The sequence below is a fragment of the Homo sapiens genome, chromosome 20, assembly GCF_000001405.40.
Source record: "Homo sapiens chromosome 20, GRCh38.p14 Primary Assembly".
Taxonomy (NCBI): Eukaryota; Metazoa; Chordata; class Mammalia; order Primates; family Hominidae; genus Homo; species Homo sapiens.
In genome coordinates this window covers 31,602,031-31,624,245 of record NC_000020.11, presented here as the reverse complement: position 1 = coordinate 31,624,245, position 22,215 = coordinate 31,602,031, and the positions used below count along the sequence as shown (strand labels likewise).

The following is a 22,215-nucleotide window of genomic DNA, read 5'->3' as shown; positions in this document are numbered from 1 at the left end:
GGGCAACAACAGCAAAACTCCGTCTCAAAAAAAAAAATAAATAAAAATAAATAAATAAAATAAAATATTGTCTTGTGGCCAGGTGTGGTGGTTCATGCCTGTAATCACAGCAATTTGGGAGGCCAAGGCGGGTGGATCACCTGAGGTCAGGAGTCAAGACCAGCCTGGCCAGCATGGTGAAACCCCATCTCTACTAAAAACACAAAAAATGAGCCGGGTGTGATGGTGGCAGCCTGTAATCTCAGCTACTCCAGAGGCTGAGGCAGGAGAATGGCTTCAACCTGGGAGGCGGAGGTTGCAATGAGTTGAGATCGTGCCATTGCACTCCAACCTGTCCAACCTGAGCAACAAGAGTGAAACTCTGTCTCAAAAAAAGTAATAAATAATAAATAAATAAATAAAATATTGTCTTGTGAGACTCTGGGTCCTGTTAAAAGCCTGTGAAGGACCCAGCACAGTGGCTTGCACCCATCATCTCAGCACCTTGGGAGGCTGAAGTGGGAGGATCGCTTGAGCCTAGGAGTTTGAGATCAGCCTGGGCAGCATGATGAAACCTTGTCTCTATGAAAAATACAAAAAAAAAAAAAAGGCCAAGTGTGGTGGCTCATGCTTGTAATTCCAGCACTTTGGGAGGCCGAGGCGGGTGGATCACGAGGTCAGGAGATCGAGACCATCCTGGCTAACACGGTGAAACCCCATCTCTACTAAAAATACAAAAAAATTAACCGGGCGTGGTGGCGGGCACCTGTAGTCCCAGCTACTCGGGAGGCCGAGGCAGGAGAATGGCATGAACCTAGGAGGCGAAGCTTGCAGCGAGCCGAGATCACTCCACTGCACTCCAGCCTGGGTGACAGAGCGAGACTGCATCTCAAAAAAAGAAAAATACAAAAAAAATTAGCCAGGCATGGTGGCACACACCTGTAGTCCCAGCTACTTGGGAGGCTGAGGTGGAAGGATTGCTTGAACCAGGGAGGTGGAGGCTGCAGTGAGCTGTTACTGCACCACTGCACTCCAGCTTAGGTGACAGAGTCAGACCCTGTCTCAATAATAATAATATTCATAATAATTTAAACAACAACAACAACAAAATACTCAAAATTCTCCTCACACTGTCTGGCTAACAGGGGCGTGTTTTCCTGGTTCTCTGGCCAGAATATTAAACTTTTCTTTTGAAGGTTTTTGCTGCTGGTGTCAAACACAGTTTCCTGATTCAGAGTCCTTTGGGTCAAGGCCAGAAAATACAGAAAGAAAATTCACCAGGAAACTTTCCACTGCCATGCTGGCTGTTCTTCAAATGTTGACTTCCTATGCCAATCTATTTTCTATTGTTTACTTTTCAGAGGTCCTCCTTAAGTAGGTGCTTTCTGTATTTGTCCAGAGTTTGATTTTTGTTTTTTGTTTTCTTTTTTCTTTTTTAGACGGAGGCTCGCTCTGCAGCCTAGGCTGGAGTGCAGTGGCACGAACTTGGCTCACTGCACCCTCTGCCTCCTGGGTTCAAGTGATTCTTCTGCTTCAGCCTCCCAAGTAGCTGGGATTACAGGTGCCCGCCACCATGCCCAGCTAATTTTTGTATTTTTAGTAGAGACAGTGTTTCGCCATGTTGACCAGGCTGGTCTCGAACTCCTGACCTCTAGTGATCCACCTTCCTTGGCCTCCCAAAGTGCTGGGATTACAGGCGTGAGCCACCGTGCCCAGGCTGTCCAGAGTTTTTTGTTGTAATCAGTGGGAGAGAGGGCTATGGTAGTCTTACTCCACTTTAGCCTTCATTCTCTCTCTCGCTCTTTTTTTTGGGGGGGCGGGGAACAGGGTCTCAGCTGGAGTGCAGTGGTGTGTGATCATGGTTCACTGTAGCCTCAACCTCCTGGGCTCAAACGATCCTTCCACTTTAGCCTCCCAATACCTGGGAGTACAGGCTTGTGTCACCATGCTCGGCTAATTTTTTTACTTTTTTTTGAGACAAGACCTCACTATGTTGCCCAGGCTGGTCTTGAACTCCTGGGATCAAGCAATCCTCATGCTTTGGCCTCGAAAAGTGCTGGGATTACAGGCGTGAGCCACCACACCCAGCCTTTCTCTTTTATTTTAATGTCTTTTTTCCTTTTGAGATAATTTTAGTCTTACAGAAGATGTAAAAATAGTACAGGGAGTTCCTGTATACCCTTCACCTGGCTTCCCCTTCTGTCAACATCTCAAACAGTGACAGAACATTTATCAAAACTAAGAAATTAACCTTGGTACATTACTATGAACTAAAGTACAGAAGTTTTTCGATTTCATCTGTTTTCCTACTTATGTCCTTTTTCTGTTCTGGGATCCAAACCAGGATCTTTTTTTTTCTTTCTTTTGTTTTTTTTAGACGGAGTCTTGCACTGTTGCCCAGGATGGAGTGCAGTGGTGCAATCTTGGCTCACTGCAAGCTCCACCTCCCAGGTTCAAGCCATTCTCCTGCCTCACCTCCCAAGTAGCTGGGACTACAGGCTCCCGCCACCATGCCTGGCTAATTTTTTTTTTTTTTTTTTTTTTTTTTTAAGTAGAGACAGGGTTTCACCATGTTAGCCAGGATGGTCTGGATCTCCTGATCTCACGATCTGCCCGCCTTGGCCTCCCAAAGTGCTGGGATCACAAGCGTGAGCCACCCCGCCCGGCCTAAACCAGATTTTTCTTTTCTTGTTTTTTCTTTTCAGACAGAGTCTCACTCTATGCCCCAGGCAGGAGTGTAGTGGCATGATCTCAGCTCATTGCAACCTCCGCCCCCCAGGCTCCAGCGATCCTCCCACCTCAGCCTTCTGAGTAGCCCGGACTACAGGAGTGAGCCCACCACACCCAGCTAATTTCTTGTATTTTTTTTGTAGAGACAGGGTTTCACCATGTTGCCCAGACTGTTCTCAAACTCCTGAGCTCAAGCAATCCTCCTGCTCAGGCTCTCAAAGTGCTGGGATTACAGGTGTGAGCCACCACACCCGGCACCAGCAGTCTTTTTCAATCTGTGACAGTTCCTCGGTCTTTCCTTCTTTTTTGTGACCTTGACACTTTTGAAGAGTCCTATTCAGCTGCTTGGTAGAATGTCTTTCAAGTTGGATTTGTCTGAGATTTTCTTGTGATCAAATTGAAGTCATGAATTATGGGGAAAATGTCACAGAAGTGGTGTCATGCCTTTCTCAGTGCATCCTTGCAGAGGCCCTGATGTTGACATGTATGACCACCAATGTTAACCTTGATCAGTTATCTAGGGCAGTATGTACTGGACTTCTCCACTGTAAAATTATTATTTTAGGCCGGGTGCGATGGCTCAGGCCTGTAATCCCAGTACTTTGGGAGGCCGAGGCGGGTGGATCACAAGGTCAGGAGTTCAAGACCAGCCTGGCCAACATGGTGAAACCCCGTCTCTACTAAAAATACAAAATTAGCTGGGCGTGGTGGTGTGCACCTTTAATCCCAGCTACTGGGGAGGCTGAAGCAGGAGAATTGCTTGAACCCGGGAGGTGGAGGTTGTGGTGAGCTGAGATTGCACCACTGCACTCCATCCTGGGTGATAAAGTGAGACTCCATCTCAAAAAAAAAAAATTATTTTACTCTGTGTAGTTATTAAATATACTTAGGGAGATACTTTGAAACTAAGAAAATATCCTTTTTCTGCTTGAAGTTTAACCCCTTGAATTGGGCATCCTTTGGTAGATCGTTATCTTCACTGTCAGTGCTTAGTAAGTTATAGTCATGATGATGATGACGATGATGATGATGAACTGGATCCTAGAAGAGCACTTGCCAGCCAGGTACCTGGAACTAGTTTTTCCTCTTGGAGCCTCACCTTTCTCATTCATAAAATGGGACAATCATGGATCTGACCTCACTGAGTTGTGGAGGTGTGTTGAACCGAGATACTGACAGCAAAACACCCAGCACAGGATTTGACACATAGCAGGGATTTTGGTTTGGGAATGTCATTGCTAGGGGACTGAATTGTGCAGGGTGGGAGGTGGCCATGTGGGGCACCAGGGGGCTCTGGGTGGGAATGATCCTGAAGCAATCCCTGCAATTGTCTGTAGTCAACAAGAGGGAGGAGGGTTGTCTCTGGAGGTCAGGAAGGGAGCCTGAGAGAGTTTCCAAACTAGACCAGCTTTCTGGAGGAGGTGAATTCAGAAAAATGAGACTTGGAAGACATCACTGGAAGTCATTTATGCAAAGTCTGGAGGTTGGAACAGAAAAGGGAGGTCATGGCAGGTAGGCACTAACTGAGCCCTCATGCAACAATAGGTTTTGGTGACCAAAGCCACTCTCAGTACCCCCTTCCAGGGCTGGGGACGAGGCTGCCAGGGGATGGCAGGTGCCTGAGTGCCCCTCTTCCCAATGTCAAGGCATATGCAGGATTATCCCAGAAACTCTACCCAGATGGATGAACGGAGTTGAACCCGAGTGTGGTGGGCATACATCTATTAATCCACTCTCTCATTTATTCAGCAAATATTTATTAAGCACCAACTATGTGCCAGGCTCTGGGCTGGACAGTGAGCACATGGCAGAGAACAGAGCAGTTCATGGAGCACCCATTCCAGAGACAGAAAACATGGTAAGCAATCAAATAAACATGATGGTTCTGGCTACAACAAATTACCATAACAAATGCTCCATAACAAATTACCCCAAAATTTAGTGGCTTAAAACGACAACCGTTTTACTATATCTCACAGATTCTGTGGGTCAGGGATTAAAGTGGAGCATAGTTGAATAATTCTTCTGTTCCCTGTTTTTGTTTTTATTTTTTTGAGTCAGAGTCTCACTCTGTAGCCCAAGATGGAGTGCAGTGGCATGATCTCAGTTCACTGCAACCTCCACCTTCCCAGGTTCAAGCAATTCTCCTACCTCAGCCTCCCAATTAGCTGGGATTACAGGCATGCACCACCATGCCTGGCTAATTTTTTTTTTTTTTTTGGAGACAGAGTTTTGCTCTTGTCACCCAGGCTGGAGTGCAGTGGCACGATCTTGGCTCACTGCAACCTCCCCCTCCCGGGTTCAAGAGATTCTCCTGCCTCAGCCTCCTGAGTAGCTGGGATTACAGATGTTTGCCACCATTCCCGGCTAAGTTTTTTGTATTTTTACAGGTGTGAGCCACGCGCCCAGCCGGCTAAGTTTTTTTGTATTTTTAGTAGAGATGGGGTTTCACCATGTTGGCCAGGCTGGTCTCCAACTCCTGACCTCAGGTGATCCACCCACCTCGGCCTCCCAAAGTGCTGCTATTAAAGGCATGAGCCATCACACCCGGCCCCCATCTCCTTTCAACCTGTTTTTTGTTGTTTCCTTCTTTATCACTATTCACATCTGTAATTGTCCTCTGGGCAAGGAACTGAACCTCTCTGAACACACTGCACTTAGAATAGCTTATTATCCTCATGACAGTTTTTGTTTGTTTGTTTGTTTTATAATTAGAGACAGGGTCTCATTATGTTACCCACTCCTGGGCTCAGGCTCAGGTGGTCCTGTCCCCTCAGCCTCCAAAGTAGCTGGGACTACAGATGCACCCTGGCACCCCGGCTTAGTTTCTTTTCTTTTCTTTCTTTGTTTTTTGTTTTTTGTTTTTTTTCTTTTTGAGACAAAGTTTCGCTCCTGTTGCCCAGGCTGGAGTGCAATGGCGCCATCTTGGCTCACCGAAACCTCCGCCTCCCGGGTTCAAGCGATTCTCCTGCCTCAGCCTCCAGAGGAGCTGGGATTACAGGCATGTGCCACCATGTCCGGCTAATATTTTTGTATTTTTTTTAGTAGAGACGCGGCTTCTCCATGTTGGTCAGGCTGGTCTCAAACTCCCGACCTTAGGTGATCCGCCTGCCTTGGCCTCCCAAAGTGCTGGGATTACAGGCGTGAGCCACTGCACCTGGCCATTTTATTTCTTAATGGCCTCAAATTTTTGACATTCTTCCTGTCAAAAGGGGGGTGTATGTCTCCTCCCTTTTGAACCTGAGAGGGCTTCTGTGACTGCTTGAACCAGTAGATTACAGCGAAATGGTGCTGTAATCCCAGCACTTTGGGAGGCTGAGCCAGGTGGATCAATTGAGCCCAGGAGTTTGAGACCAGCCTGGGCAACATGGTGAAACAAAAAATACAAAAATTAGCTGGGCATGGTGGCGTGCACCTGTAGTCCCAGCTACTTGGGAGGCTGAGGTGGGAGGATCACTTGAGCACTCTGAGAAGCCCTACTTGGAAGGACTGCTTGATCCCAGGAATTTGAGACTAGCCTGGACAACAAAGTGTGACCCCATCTCTACAAAAATGAAAAGAAAAAAAATTAGCCAGGCGTGATGGCACACACCTGTGGTCCCAGCTACATGGGAGGCTGAGGCGAGAGGATCACTTCAGTCCAAGAGTTCAAGGCTGAAGTGAGTCATGATTGCCCCACAGTACTCCAGCCTACAGAGTGAGGACCCTGTCTCAAAAAAAAAAAAAAAAAAAAAAAAAGAAGGAGATGGGATGGTCGGGGAAGACCCTCTGAGCCAACCTTTGGGCTGAAAGCTGAAGGACATGAAGATACGCAGGGTGTAGAATTTGAGGCACAGGCAAAGTCTCCCCAGTTATGAAAGAGCAACTGAAAGGAAACCAAAGTGACTGGAGGGGAGTGGCAAGGGGAGAGTTAGGGGAAGTGGGTGGATGTAGGCAGGAACCAGGCCTTACTGTGCCTTGTAGGCTATGGTAACAAATTAGGATTTTATTCCAAAAGTAACGAATGCCACAGGGAGCATTTAAGCAAGCAAGTGACGTGATCCTTGTATTTTTTAGAAGGATCTCTCTGGCTGTCATGTGGAGAATGAGGGGGAAATGGAAGCAGGGTGACTGAGGAGGCTATTGCAGTATCCCAGTGAGATGATGGGCACCAGGGTAATGGCCAAGGGGAAGGGCAGAAATGCGTAAATTTGGGATATATTTAAGAGTTAAGGCCGGGCATGGTGGCTCATGCCTCTAATCCCAACACTTTGTGAGGCTGAGGCAGGTAGATCACCTGAGGTCAAGGAGTTCGAGACCAGCCTGGACAACATGGTGAAACCCCATCTCCACTAAAAATACAAAAATTAGCCGAGCGTGGTGGCACATGCCTGTAATCCCAGCTACTCAGGAGGCTGAAGCAGTAGAATTGCCTGAACCTGGGAGGCAGAGGTTGCAGTGGGCCGAGATCCTGCCACTGCACTACAGCCTGGGCGACAGAGCAAGACACCATCTCAAAAAAAAAAAAGGCGGTAAGACCAGGCGCACTGGCTGACGTCTGTAATCCCAGCATTTTGGGAGGCCGAGGCAGGTGGGTCAATTGAGCCCAGGAGTTTGAGACCAGCCTGGGTAGCATGATGAAACAAAAAATACAAAAATTAGCCAGGTGTGGTGGTGCACACCTGTAGTCTCAGCTACTTGGGAGGCTGAGGTGGGAGGATCGCTTGAGCCCAGGAGACAGATGTTGCAGTGAATCAAGACTGCACCACTGCACTCCAGCCTGCGCCACAGAGTGAGACTTTGTCTTTGAGGGGGTGGAAAAAAAAGCATTAGAGTTGGCAGGACTTGGAGATGCAGTGAGTGTGAATGTGTATTTGTCTTGGGATGGTTTTTTCTTTTTTTTTTTTTTTTGAGATGGAGTCTCGCTCTGTCACCCAGGCTGGAGTGCAGTGGTGCAATCTCAGCTTACTGCAGCCTCTGCCTCCCAGGTTCAAGCAATTCTCCTGCCTCAGCCTCTCAAGTAGCTGGGACTACAGTTGCATGCCACCACGCCTGGCTAATTTTTGTATTTTTAGTAGAAATGGGGTTTCACAATGTCAGCCAGGATGATCTCAATCTCCTGACCTCGTGATCCACCCACCTCGGTCTCCTAAAGTGCTGGGATTACAGGTGTGAGCCACCACGCCCGGCGGGATGGTTTTCAAGGAGCATCCTGTGTTTCTAGTTTGCCCAGATTATTATTATTATTTTTTGAGACGGAGCCTTGCTCTGTTGCTCAGGCTGGAGTGCAGTGGCCAGATCTTGGCTCACTGCAACTTCCGCCTCCTGGGTTCAAGCAATTCTCCTGTCTCAGCCTCCTGAGTAGCTGGGATTACAGGCGTGCACCACCATGCCCGGCTAATTTTTGTGTTTTTAGTAGAGACAAGGTGTCACCATGTTGGTCAGGCTGGTCTCAAACTCCTGACCTCGTGATCCGCCCACCTCAGCCTCTCAAAGTGCTGAGATGACAGGTGTGAGCCCACCGTGCCCAGCTGCCCAGATTCTAAAACCAGCCTAGAAGACTATTTTAAGGGTAAAATACAGTCTTGTTCATCTTCAAAATGAGAAGGAAATATATTCTCATGCCTCACTCCCAGAATCACTTCCAAGGCTATGACCTTAGCCCAAGAGGCCAGGTCTGAGGGATCCTGGGCAAGTCACTGAACTTCTCCGGGCTTTCCTTTTCCTATCTCTACAATGAGTGCGCTGGGTTAAGCTGTATGTAAGGGACCTTCCAGTTCTGATTATTCTGTTTAATCAAAATAGACTCCAGTCCAACCTAGTAATGTTTAAATTGTGCATCACCTAGGATGCAGCCATCCTACTCCTTTTAACGCATATTCACTGAGGGCATTCAGAGCAGCACTGCTGATAACAGCAAAACCTATGAAACAATCCAAAGGTCCATCACAGGAGACTGGGGCAATAAATCATATAATAGAATACTACAAAGTGGGCTGGGTGCGGTGGCTCACGCCTGTAATCTCTGCACATTGGGAGGCCAAGGTGGCGGATCACCTGAGGTCGGGAGTTCGAGACCAGCCTGACCAAAATGGAGAAACCCCGTCTCTACTAAAAATACAAAATTAGCTGGGCATGGTGGCGCATGCCTGTAATCCCAGCTACTCGGGAGGCTGAGGCAGGAGAATCGCTTGAACCCAGGAGGCAGAGGTTGCGGTAAGCTGAGATCGTGCCATTGCACTCCAGGTTGGGCAACATGAGCAAAACTCCATCTCAAAAAAAAAAAAAAGAATACTACAAAGTGGTGGAAATGAATGAATGAAGGCAAGAAATCAACATGGATGACTCTCATGTAATTCATGTTGCATGAGAAAATCAGGTTGCAGAAAATTGCATATAATATGATTTTATTTATATAAAAGGCAAAACCAGGTAATATCAAGTAATGGATTGTTTAAGGATGCATACTTGTACATATGTGAAAAAAAATAAAAGAACAAGCAATTGATTAACACAAAGTTCTGGATAAGAGGTAAAATCTTATGGGGATTTTATCCTGAAGGGCAAACACAGGCTTCAAATGAACTAATATTCTATTTCAAGCAGAGAGGCTGGTACTTGTGTGTTTTATAGTTTTATATATATACATATATGTGTATATATACATATGTGTGTATATACATATATGTGTGTATATATACATATATACACATGTATACATGTGTATATACATATATACACATGTATACATATGTATATACATATATACATATATACACATGTATACATATGTATATACATATATACATATATACATACACATACATATATACATATATATACACACACATATATATACACACATATACACACACACACACACACACACATTTTTTTTTTTTTTTGAGACAGAGTCTTTGTTGCCCAAGCTGGAGTGCAGTGGCGCAATCTCGGCCTCCCAAAGTGCTGGGATTAAAGGCGTGAGCCACCGCACCTGGCCGGTTTTATTATTATCTTTAAACTGCAGACGTGTGATATCTGCTCTATTGTAGGTGTGATACATTTCACAATTGAAAAAAAGAAATTTCCAAGATTAGGCCAGGCGTGATGGCTCACACCTGTAATCCCAGCACTCTGGGAGGCCGAGGTAGGCAGATCACCTGAGGTCAGGAGTTCAAGACCAGCCTGGTCCACATGGTGAAACCCCATCTCTACTAAAAATACAAAAAATGAGCCAGGCTTGGTGGCGAGCCCAGATTGCGCCACTGCACTCTAGCCTGGGCGAAAGAGTGAAACTCTGCCTCAAAAACAAAAAACAAAAAACAAAAACAAAAACAAAAAACAAAATTAGCTTGAGCGCCGTGGCTCACGCCTGTAATCCCAGCACTTTGAGAGGCTGAGGCAGGCTTATCACCTGAGGTCGGAAGTTCGAGACCAGCCTGATCAACATGGAGAAACCCGTCTCTACCAAAAATACAAAATTAGCCAGGCGTGGTGGCTGGCGCCTGTAATCCTAGCTACTCGGGAGGCTGAGGCAGGAGAATCGCTTGAACCCAGGAGATGAGTTTGCAATGAGCCAAGATCGCGCCACTGCACTCCAGCCTGGGCTACAAAAAAAAAAAAAAAAAAAAAAAAGCCGGGAGCGGTGGCTCACGCCTGTAATCCCAGCATTTTGGGAGGCCGAGGCAAGCGGATCACGAGGTCAGGAGATCGAGACCACGGTGAAACCCCGTCTCTACTAAAAATACAAAAAAATTAGCCGGGTGCGGTGGCGGGCGCCTGTAGTCCCAGCTATTGGGGAGGCTGAGTCAGGAGAATGGCGTGAACCCGGGAGGCGGAGCTTGCAGTGAGCCGAGATCGAGCCACTGCACTCCAGCCTGGGCGACAGAGCCAGACTCCGTCTCAAAGAAAAAAAAAAAGAAAAGAAAAGAAAGAAGAAAGAAAAGAAAAAGAAAAAGAAAAGAAATTTCCAAGATTAGCCCAAGATCTCCTCCTTTAAAAGGGAAGGAATGCCGGGCACGCTGGCTCACGCCTGTAATCCCAGCACTTTGGGAGGCTGAGGCGGGCGCATCACGAGGTCAGGAGATCGAGACCATTCTGGCTAACACGGTGAAACCCCCTCTCTACTAAAAATACAAAAAATTAGCTGGGCGTGGTGGCGGGCGCCTGTAGTCCCAGCTACTCCGGAGGCCGAGGCAGGAGAATGGCGTGAACCCTGGAGGCGAAGGTTGCAGTGAGCCGAGATCGTGCCACTGCACTCCAGCCTGGGCGACAGAGCGAGACTCCATCTCAGAAAAAAAAAAAAAAAAAGGGAGGGAATGAGGCTCATAGGGGGTTGTCACAAGCAAGGAAGAGGAAAGAGGATGAGAGAATGGGGGAAACGGTAGCCAAAGGGGGCCTGAGAGAAGGGGCTGAGGGTTTACATGTGCGCAGAACTCTTCACTCTCCTAACACGCTTGCAGCTCTGACTGCAGTTCCCAAGGCGTCCACTAGAGGCCACCAAGGCATCAGCCTCCGCCTCTCGCCGCAACCAGGCCGCCTTTCTCGCCCACGGTGGCATAGCCCGGGCTCTGCCCGGGAGGGGGCGCTGGTGGCCAAAGGAAGACGGGGGCGGGCACAGCGCCTGCGTTTGCAGCTGCATGAGACCAGGTGCTCTGGAAAGCGCTGGCCCGCTTCCCAGCTCTTCTCTGCCGCCCAGAGATTTTAGGGTCTCAAACCCAAAAACCGGGCCGGACAGGGTGGCTCACGCCTGTAATCCCAGTGCTTTGGGAGGCAGAGGCGGGAGGATTGCTTGAGCCCAGGATTTTGAGGCCAGCCTGGGCAACCATGCAAGACCCCGTCTCTATTAAAACAACAACAGGCCGGGCCCGGTGGTTCACGCCTGTAATCTCAGCACTTTGGGAGGCCGAGGCGGATGGATCACCTGAGGTCAGGCGTTGGAGACCATCCTGGCCAACATGATGAAATCCCGTCTCTACTAAAAATACAAAAAATTAGCTGGACGTGGTGGTGCACGCCATAGTCCCAGCTACTCGGGAGGCTGAGGCAGAAGAATCGCTTGAACCCAGAAGGCAGAGGTTGCAATGAGTCGAGATTGCGCCACTGCACTCTAGCCTGGTGACAGAACGAGACTTTGTCTCACAATTAAAAAAAAAAAAAAAATTAGCTGGGCGTGGTGGCAGGCACCTGTAACCCCAGCTACTTGGGAGGCTGAGGCAGGAAAATCGCTTGAACCCAGGAGGCGGGGGTTGCAGTGAGTTGAGATGGTACCATTGCACTCCAGCCTGGGTGACAAGGAGGAAACTGTCTCAAAAAATATATAAATAAATAAAAATAAATTAATAAAATAACAAAACAAACCCAAGCAACGAACAGCACCCACAGACACGATTCTTTGTCTTCTGCAGCTATGCCTTCAAGCTTGGGCCCTGCTCGGTCTCGTCTATATATAAAGAAGAGGATCTAGGTTTGTGCAGCCTCTAAGGAAAAGAATACAACATTTTGCAAATCTTGCAAAACACACAGAAATCATGCTAACACATGGCTGATACTCTTTCCATGTGAGGAGGCTTGAAGTTTAAGCTTAAGTAATTTCCAGGTAAATGCACCTCTGATTACACATCTGCATATTTATCTACTGCGTGTCTCCCACTAAGAATGTAAGTTCCAAGACTGCAAGAATTTGTATCTGAATTGTTAACTCCTGGGGCCCGGTTCCTAGTATATTGTAGAAGCTTTATAAACTATTTGTTGAAAGAACCAGTTGGGGCTAGTTTCACAGGTAGAAGTACAATGGCCTAGCCTGAGGCTTGAGGAGTGCAAAGGTTTGGGATGATATCACTGAAACCTCAAAACGGTGAGTATAACACCCATTTAAAAGCTGGGAATGAGGCTGGGCGACATGGTGGCTCACACCTGTAATCCCAGCACTTTGGGAGGCCAAGGCGGGCAGACCACGAGGTCAGAAGGTCAAGACCAACCTGGCCAACACGGTGAAACCCCGTCTCTACTAAAAACACAAAAATTAGCTGGGCGTGGTGGCACGTGCCTATAACCCCAGCTACTTGGGAGGGTGAGGCAGGAGAATCACTTGAACCTGGGAGACACAGGTTGCAGTGAGCTGAGCTCCTGCCACTGCACTCCAGGCTAGCAAGAGAGGGAGACTCTGTCTCAAAAAAAAAAAAAAAAAAAAAATGCTGGGGATGGCAGGGTGCAGTGGCTCACACCTGTAATCCCAACAATTTGGGAGGCCAAGGCAGGTGGATCACCTGAGGTCAGTAGTTCGAGACCAACCTGGCCAACATGTAGAAACCCTGTCTCTACTAAAAATACAAAAATTGCTGGGCGTCGTGGTGCACACCGGTAGACTCAGCTACTGGAGGGGCTGAGGCAGGAGAATTGCTTGAACCCAGGAGGCAGAGGTTGGCAACAGAGTGAGACTCCGTCTCAAAAAAAAAAAAAAAAATGCTGGGGATCCTAAGAGCCCAGGAGGTGAAGCAGGTGCCCAACCAGAAGTGGCACTGGGCCTAGAACCCGCATTTGCCTTGCCTCTTGCCCTGCCTTTGCTCCCAGCCACTGTCCTCCCTTTAACCCCCCTTGCACAAGGCCTTGATGCAACCCTGTACTGGCCTGGGGCACCCTGCTTGAGGACAGCGTTGGGAACGAGGTTTTGCAAGAGTTGCAGCAGGAAGCAGCACCAGCCAGGGCAGGTCCAGGGAGATAAGGGCACCCTCGCCCCTCCCTGTGCTCCTCCTGGCCTTCTGGTTTCCTCTTCCCTTCCCTTTCCTGGAAAGTGGCGCCTGCCTGGACCCTGGCCCCAGCCTCGCCCAGCTCCTGGCCTGGCCCTGTGACTCACCTCCTTTCTTTCCGGCAGCCATGCTAGGATGTGAGACCTGCCTGCCACCAGGAAGCCCTGCTGTGTGTGACACTGGGCAGCAGGGAGCTCTCTCTGGCTGGCAGTTCCTGGTGCTCAATAAGAGTGACTGGCATGGGTCGGGTGTGGTGGCTCACGCCTGTAATCCCAGCACTTTGGGAGGTTGAGGAGGGCTGATCACCTGAGGTCAGGAGTTCGAGGCCAGCCTGGGCAACATGGTGAAACCCCGTCTCTACTAAATATATAAAAATTAGCCAGATGTGGTGGTGCGCGTCTGTAATCTCAGCTACTCAGGAGGCTGAGGCATGAGAATTGCTTGAACCCGGGAGGCGGAGGTTGCAATGAGCCAAGATCACGCCACTGCACTCCAGCCTGGGCGACAGAGCGAGACTCTGTCTCAAAAAAAAAAAAAAAAAAAAAAAAAGAGCCGGGCACGGTGGCCTCATGCACTTTGGGAGGCTGAGGAGGGTAGATCACCTGAGGTCAGGAGTTCGAGAGCAGCCTGGCAAACATGGTGAAACCCTGTCTCTACTAAAAATACAAAAATTAGCTGGGCGTGTTGGCATATGCCTGTAATCCCAGCTTCTTGGGAAGCTGAGGCAGAAGAATTGCTTGAAACTGGGAAGCGGAGGTTGCGGTTGAGTCGAGATCGCCCCATTGCACTCCAGCCTGGGTGACGAGGAAAACTGTCTTAAAAAAAAAAATAGACATTCCCCAATATGGGTTGCAAAAATTGTGATATGTGTATATTTCTTGCATTTATCTGAGTTATGCTTTTAAAACAAATAAATATAATGACCAGGTATGATTTCAGTTGGAAATAAGATGAAAGGCTTTATAAACTGGACATACTGTGGGAACATGAGGCCCCTCATAAACCTGATTTAGACAAGTCTGATTTCTGGAAAGTCCTCTAAGGTAATGTGCAATGTGGCCTTGGGTGGGTCACCTCACCTCTTTGATGCCTCCGTTTTCTCATCTGAAAAGTGAACACAGGCCGGGCACGGTGGCTTACATCTGTAATCCCAGCTCTTCGGGAAGCTGAGGTGGGCAGATCCCTTCAGGTCAAGAGTTCGAGACTAGCCTGGCCAACATGGTGAAAACCCTTTTCTACAAAAAAAATACAAAAATTAGCTGGGCATGGTGGCACGTGCCTGTAATCCCAGCTACTCGGGAGGCTGAGGCAGGAGGATCACTTGAACCTGGGAGGTGGAGGTTGCAGTGAGCCAAGATGGTGCCACCGCACCCCAGCCTGGGCAATAGAGGGAGACTCTGTCTCAAAAAAACCAAAAAAGTGAATATACCAGTAGGCCCACACCTGGTAGGGCTGTTGAGACAATCCGCTCAAAACACTTTATTGCAATATGCACTAAGTATCTACCATGAGCCTGTGCTATGCTTTTTAGGTGCATTGGTTCAATTAATCCTTGAAGCCCAGGTTCTGAAGCCCGTTTTCCAAAAAAGAAGAGGCTCTGACAGGTGAAGTGATGAGCATCAAGGTTGATTCTGGGCTTGTGTTCTACCTGCCTCCCTACTAAAATGTTAGCCTATTACTCTTGTTGTAGTGGTGGTGGTTGCTCTTATTAAAATGAGCATATGATGATAGCACTGGCCTCGTTAACAAGTTCTGACGATTAAATGAATTGATATTGTAAAGAGTTTAGCATGGTGCCCAGCACACAATAAGCTCTCTGTATTTCTTAAATAAAATTAACAGTACAGCCCCGGAAAGGCAGAGTCCAGTGCCCAAGAAACTTGGTCCTCGGGTTTCTCGGCATCTTCCACCCCAGCTCCTGGCTTCGTCCTGTCCAGGAGGGGTTAAGGAGTTAATGATTTCCAAAGGAGCAGGGTTTTGTGTGTTACATGCACACACACCGGTGGCCTCTGTCCCCCCTCCCTCTGCGAGGCCCGGAGCCTCTTATGCAAGCCGCCGGCGCCCGCCGGTTCCCAGGCCCGGCTGCAGCTGGGGGCGGAGGGGCAGGGCGGGGGCGGCGCGCTGTTTGTCTAGCGCGGCTGTGCCAAAGGCTGCGGGCCCCAGACAGCCAGGCGCCTCCGTACACCTGGGGATGCTCAGGTTAAATAGCTCCGCATTCCTCGGGCCCAGCTGATGGAAACGCTCCCAGGCCGCCGCGGAGCCGGCCTCCAGATGGGCTGGGTCTGGGCCAAAGGGGAACAGAGGGAAACGTGGAATCCAGAGTGTGCCTGAATGGCGGGGGAGGTGGCCCAGGCCCCCGCCGCAGCCCCTTCCTCCCCTGGAAAAAGGCCCTGCATGTCGGAGTACGCGAGGGGGAACCCGCTCAGACCCCGTGGGTGGGCTTGCAGGCGGGGGCCCACACGTGAGAGTGCGTGCGTGCACACGTGTGCCTCCGAGGACACTCCAAGGACTCACAGGCGACAATAATAATTTATAACTATGAAACATTCTGTGCCAAGCACTGTGCTAAACGTTTTACACACTTACTTTATTTCATTTATTCTGTACTACATTCCGTGAGGTTAGTACTGTAATACAGCAGCCGGTGGGGAGGAGGTAGCAAAGAACATAATTCGCCTGCAAGTACTGGGTTCTTCGATAAAATCCATAAACTGTGGAGGGGGTGTACCTGGCTTAATGTTAGTGCTCAAATCATAATCTTTCATTTGATTTTTTGTTCATCCCCTCTCTGAGCTTGTTCCTTCTGCTGTAAAACTGGGATCACAGTCTTGCCTTTAGCCCCACAGGGATCCATGAAATCGTTTTTGTAAAGGGTTCAGTTGAGCAGAGCCAGGCTTCTGGTGCTAAGGGCTATTGATTTTATTCTATTGTTTATTGACAAAATATATTAATAGCCCTTACCTGTCTGGGACAAGTTCTTTGTCATTCCTGGGACTCAGTTTCTCCATATGTAATACAGGGGGGTTTACCTGGCAGCAATCCTTGAGGGTTGGTGCCCCCAGGACCTAACGATAGCCCAGGGAGTTGCCACGTGAACTTTTGAGGAAGGGTTTGCCCAAACACAGCTGTCCCCACCTTCACTCCAGACCCGCAGAGGCCCAGGAATGCCAACCAATCTATAGAACAGTTATACACACAGAAACCCACAGTGTGGTTCTGTGGCCCCCAGACACACAAACCCATCCATCATGCCAGACCCATGCAGAGATGCCTACAATGCATTTAGGCAGAACACACAAGCCCAAACAGCTGGAGGTTCCACACTTATCTGCAGAACACATGTGCTCTCATTTGCCCTTCTGCACACACCCCCAAGCATACTCCTACTTACACCCCCTCCCCCAAGCCTATATGTGAACAGTTGGCCCATCCCCACTGTGGGAGTAGTGGGGGAAGATCAGCTTACTCCTGTTACATACACAGGCGTAGACACTCATACATGCTCCCCTGAGTAGAAATCCACATACATGTCCAGGAAGATTCTTAGACCCTTGCCAATGACATATTTTTCCTGCTCAGGAGCTGGGTAATGAGACTCGTCCACTCCTCAGATCCTACGCAGGAGCCCCGGGGTTGGTGGGGGAGATTTGTTTGAACTGCCGACAGAGCCAGGCCAGAGTGAGGAGGCCGAGTCTGGACCCAGAGCAGGTGTCTCGGCAGCTGTGCCCAGCCTGGCCCTGCCAACTTGCTCACCCACTTGGATGAGCCAGGAGCCCCAGGGCTGCCTGCTGGAACCCAGAGGTAGGCTGTTGGGGGAGGCACCTCCAACTGGGGAATGGGGTGATAGAATCACTGCCTCTCACAAGCTATGGCCCTAAGCAAGTCCCTTTCCACTGGGTCTCACTTTATCCACATCTTGGCAAGGAAGTGGGTGGTCCAGCGGCCAGGTTCTCCAACTTAAATGGCTTGCTCAATACTCCCAATACAGAGGGGGCCCTGGCAGGTTCATCTGCATTTTAACAACCTCCCCAGGTGATCTAGATGGCCCAATGATCACTGTGAGAAACCCCAGAGGTCTGGAGTATTTAGTTTTATAACACTGGGGAGCAGGGAAATGGGCAGGGATGGTGGGGGAAGAATAGACTTTAAAGACACCGGAAACACTCATTCAGGCCGGTAAGAGCAACAATCCAGATGTAGCCCTCCAATTCTCCTCCCAGAACCAGCTGTGAAGAGGGTCAGGGGTCAACCCCCAGCCCAGGCCCCTCCCCTCAACCCAAGAAGTCACTACAACTTTACCACCATCTAAATTATTTGTTTAATAACAAAAAAACAGCCCCACAGAACTATTGTAAAACAATATTTTCAGTCGGTGATCATTGTAATATACAATACAAAGCAATTTCCTCAGAAATCTGAGAAGCACCAAACGTGACCATTTTTTAAAATGTCTGCTTTTCAAAAAATAGAAACACACGAGTGGAATCCCACCCCCTAAAGTCTCTGGTGACTAGTAGGTGTGCAGAGAGGAGCGCCCTCTCCTCGCCAGTGCCTCAGCCTCAGCCCCAGGCTGGATGCAGTTAAGGGCGCAGTGGCCGCCGATCGGTCTTGTTCTCCCTCAGATCCGGCGAGGCGCGTTGGGGGAGACCCACAGAGCACGTAATTCCTCTTGCCCCCTGGATGGCTGGGGTCCGCCGGTCCCTGGGGGAGGCGCTTCAGCGACACAAGATGCGATCGTCCGCAGGAACGCATGCCGCCTGTGAAAACGAGAAGAAATGAGACCGGCGGGTTGGAAGGGACGCCGCTCCGAGCGCAGCGAACGCCCCCTTCCCCAGGAAGCACGACGGGGGAGCGCTTTTTCCAGGCTCCTTAGGCACCCCCGCATAGCCAGGTACCCGCAAGGATGGGACGGAAGTGGTGCAAGCGCCCACGCCCTCTCTGGCCTCCGTTTCCCCGTCGGTATAAGGATGATCTAGTGGTCGGATCTGGATCTCACCTCGGCCGTCAGGGCGCTGATCTCGCCGTTGAGGGTGCTGAGCGGAGCCCGGACCGGCAGCCCTCGGCCCCCGGGGGTTCCAACTTCGGATTCCGAGTTCAGCTCCAACTGAAGGTCCCTGATGTAGTCGATGACGTGCTGGAGAATCTCCACCTTGCTCACCTTGCGGTTCTGGGGCAGGGTGGGCACCAGCTCCTTGAGGCGTGAGTAACAGCCGTTCATGTCGTAGAGCAGCACGTTTACCTGCTGCTCGTCCAGCAGGGCAGGCAGGCGCGCCCCGGCGCCCCCGGCGCAGCGCGAGATGGCCACGCTCTGCTCAGACAGACAGCGCACCACCTCGCCCGCACCGCTCGCTGTCTTGCCGGCCTTCAGCGCGCAGCTGGGGCCCGCGGCGGCGGTGGCGGTGCTGCCACTGGCGACTTTCATGATTCTTGGCGACTGGCTGAAACAGAATGGGCAAAGCGAAAAAAATGAGGTGGAAGCCCGAAGCAGATACGGAAAATGGAACAGTTAAGAACGTGGAATGAGAGTGCGGAGCCACAGCTTGTCTTTTATAAACACGCCACGGCCCCCGGAGGGGCGGGCTCAGAACGTTCAAAAGCAGCCAATGGGCGGCATGGGGGCGTGACCCGCGCTCCTAGGTCCAGCCTCCTGCTCGTCTAGTGCCTGCTCGCAGTGTGGAAAGACGACCCGGGTTTCAGAACAGCAAGGGTGGGTCGGTGGCAGGGCACCGGGCAGGGCAGCGGGTAGAGGCGAGGGCCGCACTGGGCTCCTCTGGAAGGAGGCAAGGAAGCTAAGCAGGCATTGCCTTATAATGAAAAGACCTCAGGAATCAGTTTTTCCCATATTCACTTTCTCACTTCTCCAGCTCCATTTCACAGATGAGAGAAATTGAGGCCCGAACGGAGAAGCGGCTGGCTCTGGATAGCCCAGAGAGCCTGGGTTTCCGGACCCTCTTGGAAGATGCTTCTCGGACCCTGATCTACAAATATCAGGACCGAAATTTAAAGCGGGCGCTCCTTTACATCTGCTCCCCTGGGCTTTCTCAATTCCTAAATAATGTTGCTGTTCGTGTTCCTGAGACCCGGAGGGCCTACCCAGATCCCTCCCGGGTGGGAGCAATTAATTCGGGAAAGTCTAGTAAGTTTGGGGCTGGGTGGCTGGGAAGTGAACTAGATAGAGCGCAGTGGAGTGAGGCTGCATTCGATTCCACCTTGAATTTGCAGCTCCTTGCAAAAATTTCCTGAACCTGCAACAGTTCGTGATTTTTTAATGTTTTTTCCCATTTTTGGCTGCTTTTTAAATTTTCTTCTCAAAGACCTCAGAGCAGGGTCTCCCTCCCACGGCGCGGCAGCTGCGGAGCTACAGTCTCCCCCCTCCCTTCCCGGGCCGGTCTGTGTCAGCGTCTGAACCAGCGGCTCAGACCGTTAGACGCCAGGCCTGTGACGTCACCCATTCATAAAACCCGGACGGACTGTCAGGCTGGCGCCGCGCGGGCGGTCGCCATGGAGACGACAAACTGGTCTAGCTAGTTCCCGTGCTCCCCCCAGCCCGTCACCTGCAGACCCCGGGCGGGAGGCCTGGGAATGCGTTTCTTGCGGGCGCGGTCGCTGAGCAAGGGTCACCTTACCTCCCCGCCCCACACCTGCGAGTCTCCCAACCCAGACCCACAGCTTGGGCCGCTTGGGGTTTCTTCACCGCTCCCCCCACCTCTCCGCCCCAGCTACCCCTTCCAGCGTGGGGAAAAAGGCCTGAGTTCTCTTTCCAGCTCTGCAGCTGAGTGAATTCAGGCGGGTCGCATGCCCTCTCTGAGCCCTAATATTTAATATCTGCTTGGTGTTTAAATAATAATCACAAACGTGACCATTATTAATTTCTTACTTTGTACAGCGGGCACTGTATGAAGAGTTTGTCTTGATCATCTTTTTTCATTTATTTCTTATTTTAAAAAATGAAGGGCTGCGCGGTGGCTCACGCCTGTAATCCCAACAATTTGGAAGGCCGAGGCGGGTGGATTGCCTGAGGTCAGGAGTTCGAGACCAGCCTGACCAATATGGTGAAACCCCATCTCTACTAAAAATACAAAAATTAGCCGGGCATGGTAGCGTTCGCCTGTAATCCCAGCTACTCGGGAGGCTGAGACAGGAGAATTGCTTGAACCTGGGAGGCGGAGGTTGCAGTGAGCCGAGATCGCACCACTGCACTCAAGCCTGGCGACAGAGTGAGACTCGTCTCAAAAAAAAAAAAAAAAAAAAGGATACAGGGGGCCGGGCGCAGTGGCTCACGCCTGTAATCCCAGCACTTTGGGAGGCCGTGGTGGGCAGATCACGAGGTCAGGAGTTCGAGACCAGCCTGACCAACATGGTGAAATCCCGTCTCTACTAAAAATGAAAAATTAGCCAGGTGTGGTGGCGCGCACCTGTAATACCCCAGCTACTCAGGAGGCTGAGGCAGGAGACTCGCTGGAACCCAGGAGGCGGAGGTTGTAGTGAGCCGAGATTATGCCACTGCACTCCAGCCTGGGCGACAGAGTGGGACTCTGTTTCAAAATAAAATAATAATGATACAGGGTCTTACTCTGTCACCCGGCTTGATCAACTTCTGTAGTCTTTTTCACAACTCTAAAGAAAGGAGCTCTTTGGTTTCTTTATACAAAGGAAACTGAGGCTCCACACGACGCCTAAGTCATAACCATAGTTGTGTTATTATAAGGAGGGTACAGTGTTGTAATGCAACCGCTTCCTGCTGAGAGCAGGCAGTCTGACTGCAGAGTCCTGGACATGCCACAGGTGGGGAAACCGAAGCTCAGATTAGTCACCCAAAGCCACACAACATTAGCAGGGGTAAAAATCTGTGCTCACCAGTGGAGGGTGATATTATGGTCCCTCCCTGCTCCGCTCCACCGCACTACCCCGCAGCAATTAATTCACTGAGTTATCAGCAGGTTCCGTTTTCCCACAGAAGTTCGGGGGATGAGGGAAAAGTAAAGGAGCCTTCTGCCTCCACATCAGGAAACCAGGAAAACCAAACCAATCAGTGAGACCAGCTTCAAAAGAGAGAGACATCATCAATTAATTAGCCAGACTCCTCATCCCCTTACCACACACACCAAAACTCTCTAAACTCCCTACGCCTTGTTTAGCAATCCTAAATTAATGATGGGAGGGAATAGTTTGCTGCTCAAAAGAATTGCCAAATAATTGGAAGAACAACAGTCAACCAGAGGAAATTAGAGTATTAATTCATCACCAAGTGTTTATTTTTGTTTATTTTTGAGGCAGAGTCTCGCTCTGTTGCCCAGACTGGAGTGCAGTGGCGCGATCTCAGCTCACTGCAACCACCACCTCCTGAGTTCAAGTCATTCTCCTGCCTCAGGCTGGGATTACAGGCACCCACCACCACGCCCATCTAATTTTTGTATTTTTAGTGGAGACGGGGTTTTGCCATGTTGCCTAGGGTGGTCTCAAACTCCTGACCTCAGGTGATCCGCCCGCCTTGGCCTCCCAAAGTGCTGGGATTACAGGCATGAGCCACCGTGCCTGGCCATCACCAACTATTTATTTATTTTTTTTTGAGATAGAGTCTCAGACTGTCACCCAGGCTGGAGTGCAATAGCACAGTCTTGGTTCACTGCAACCTCCGCCTCCTGGGTTCAAGCGATTCTTCTGCCTCAGCCTCCCAAGTAGCTGGGATTACAGGTGCCCGCCACCACACCAGGCTAAATTTTTTGTCTTTTTAGTAGAGACGGGGTTTCACTATGTTGGCCAGGCTGGTCTCAAACTC

General features: G+C 49.9%; 1 protein-coding gene, 1 long non-coding RNA gene and 1 other non-coding gene across 4 annotated transcripts, besides 12 other annotated features; 1 reads left to right on the top strand and 2 right to left on the bottom strand.

Annotated features, from left to right (window-relative positions):
- Positions 5,005 to 5,506: an enhancer, noted in NCBI's record as "H3K4me1 hESC enhancer chr20:30206543-30207044 (GRCh37/hg19 assembly coordinates)". NCBI's record gives its function as "activates a minimal SCP1, AML or CMV promoter by ChIP-STARR-seq in primed H9 embryonic stem cells {active_cell/tissue: H9 hESC(primed)}" and the evidence as "EXISTENCE:reporter gene assay evidence [ECO:0000049][PMID:30033119]".
- Positions 6,487 to 6,536: an enhancer, noted in NCBI's record as "active region_17686". NCBI's record gives its function as "activates an Ori minimal core promoter by ATAC-STARR-seq in GM12878 lymphoblastoid cells {active_cell/tissue: GM12878}" and the evidence as "EXISTENCE:reporter gene assay evidence [ECO:0000049][PMID:35858748]".
- Positions 13,125 to 13,723: a transcriptional cis regulatory region, noted in NCBI's record as "candidate enhancer chr20.846 targeted for multiplex CRISPR interference". NCBI's record gives its function as "positively regulates ID1 gene expression with high confidence in K562 cells {active_cell/tissue: K562}" and the evidence as "EXISTENCE:mutant phenotype evidence [ECO:0000015][PMID:30612741]".
- Positions 15,269 to 15,844: a transcriptional cis regulatory region, noted in NCBI's record as "candidate enhancer chr20.845 targeted for multiplex CRISPR interference". NCBI's record gives its function as "positively regulates ID1 gene expression with high confidence in K562 cells {active_cell/tissue: K562}" and the evidence as "EXISTENCE:mutant phenotype evidence [ECO:0000015][PMID:30612741]".
- Positions 16,906 to 17,200: a silencer, noted in NCBI's record as "tiled region #11771; K562 Repressive non-DNase unmatched - State 1:Tss". NCBI's record gives its function as "represses a minimal TATA promoter and a strong SV40 promoter by Sharpr-MPRA in K562 cells {active_cell/tissue: K562}" and the evidence as "EXISTENCE:reporter gene assay evidence [ECO:0000049][PMID:27701403]".
- MIR3193 (microRNA 3193) lies at positions 17,006 to 17,060 on the bottom strand. The gene has a single exon (NR_036161.1). It is a non-coding gene; the product is annotated as a microRNA 3193 (primary transcript).
- Positions 17,225 to 17,803: an enhancer, noted in NCBI's record as "OCT4-NANOG-H3K27ac-H3K4me1 hESC enhancer chr20:30194246-30194824 (GRCh37/hg19 assembly coordinates)". NCBI's record gives its function as "activates a minimal SCP1, AML or CMV promoter by ChIP-STARR-seq in primed H9 embryonic stem cells {active_cell/tissue: H9 hESC(primed)}" and the evidence as "EXISTENCE:reporter gene assay evidence [ECO:0000049][PMID:30033119]".
- On the bottom strand, positions 17,736 to 18,957 carry ID1 (inhibitor of DNA binding 1). 2 transcript variants are annotated; one of them, NM_002165.4, is made up of 2 exons: positions 18,433 to 18,957; positions 17,736 to 18,193 (listed from the first exon to the last, which is right to left on the bottom strand). In NM_002165.4, exons 1-2 carry the CDS (start codon positions 18,856 to 18,858, stop codon positions 18,152 to 18,154), a joined length of 468 nt encoding a protein of 155 aa, NP_002156.2. In that variant the 5' UTR covers positions 18,859 to 18,957; the 3' UTR covers positions 17,736 to 18,151. The 2 variants fall into 2 exon arrangements, with proteins under 2 accessions (NP_002156.2, NP_851998.1); NM_181353.3 differs by having other exon boundaries at positions 17,736 to 18,957.
- Positions 17,850 to 18,519: an enhancer, noted in NCBI's record as "H3K27ac hESC enhancer chr20:30193530-30194199 (GRCh37/hg19 assembly coordinates)". NCBI's record gives its function as "activates a minimal SCP1, AML or CMV promoter by ChIP-STARR-seq in naive H9 embryonic stem cells {active_cell/tissue: H9 hESC(naive)}" and the evidence as "EXISTENCE:reporter gene assay evidence [ECO:0000049][PMID:30033119]".
- Positions 18,520 to 19,190: an enhancer, noted in NCBI's record as "H3K27ac hESC enhancer chr20:30192859-30193529 (GRCh37/hg19 assembly coordinates)". NCBI's record gives its function as "activates a minimal SCP1, AML or CMV promoter by ChIP-STARR-seq in naive and primed H9 embryonic stem cells {active_cell/tissue: H9 hESC(naive and primed)}" and the evidence as "EXISTENCE:reporter gene assay evidence [ECO:0000049][PMID:30033119]".
- LOC105372588 (uncharacterized) lies at positions 19,051 to 19,555 on the top strand. The gene is made up of 2 exons (XR_936669.2): positions 19,051 to 19,143; positions 19,301 to 19,555. It is a non-coding gene; the product is annotated as an uncharacterized LOC105372588 (long non-coding RNA).
- Positions 19,495 to 20,333: an enhancer, noted in NCBI's record as "VISTA enhancer hs480". NCBI's record gives its function as "enhancer in: neural tube[8/8] | hindbrain (rhombencephalon)[8/8] | midbrain (mesencephalon)[8/8] | forebrain[8/8] | eye[8/8]" and the evidence as "EXISTENCE:transgenic organism evidence [ECO:0001131][PMID:17130149]".
- Positions 19,580 to 19,759: an enhancer, noted in NCBI's record as "active region_17685". NCBI's record gives its function as "activates an Ori minimal core promoter by ATAC-STARR-seq in GM12878 lymphoblastoid cells {active_cell/tissue: GM12878}" and the evidence as "EXISTENCE:reporter gene assay evidence [ECO:0000049][PMID:35858748]".
- Positions 21,086 to 21,380: a silencer, noted in NCBI's record as "tiled region #14532; HepG2 Repressive non-DNase unmatched - State 5:Enh, and K562 Repressive DNase unmatched - State 7:EnhWF". NCBI's record gives its function as "represses a minimal TATA promoter and a strong SV40 promoter by Sharpr-MPRA in HepG2 and K562 cells {active_cell/tissue: HepG2 | K562}" and the evidence as "EXISTENCE:reporter gene assay evidence [ECO:0000049][PMID:27701403]".
- Positions 21,275 to 21,344: an enhancer, noted in NCBI's record as "active region_17684". NCBI's record gives its function as "activates an Ori minimal core promoter by ATAC-STARR-seq in GM12878 lymphoblastoid cells {active_cell/tissue: GM12878}" and the evidence as "EXISTENCE:reporter gene assay evidence [ECO:0000049][PMID:35858748]".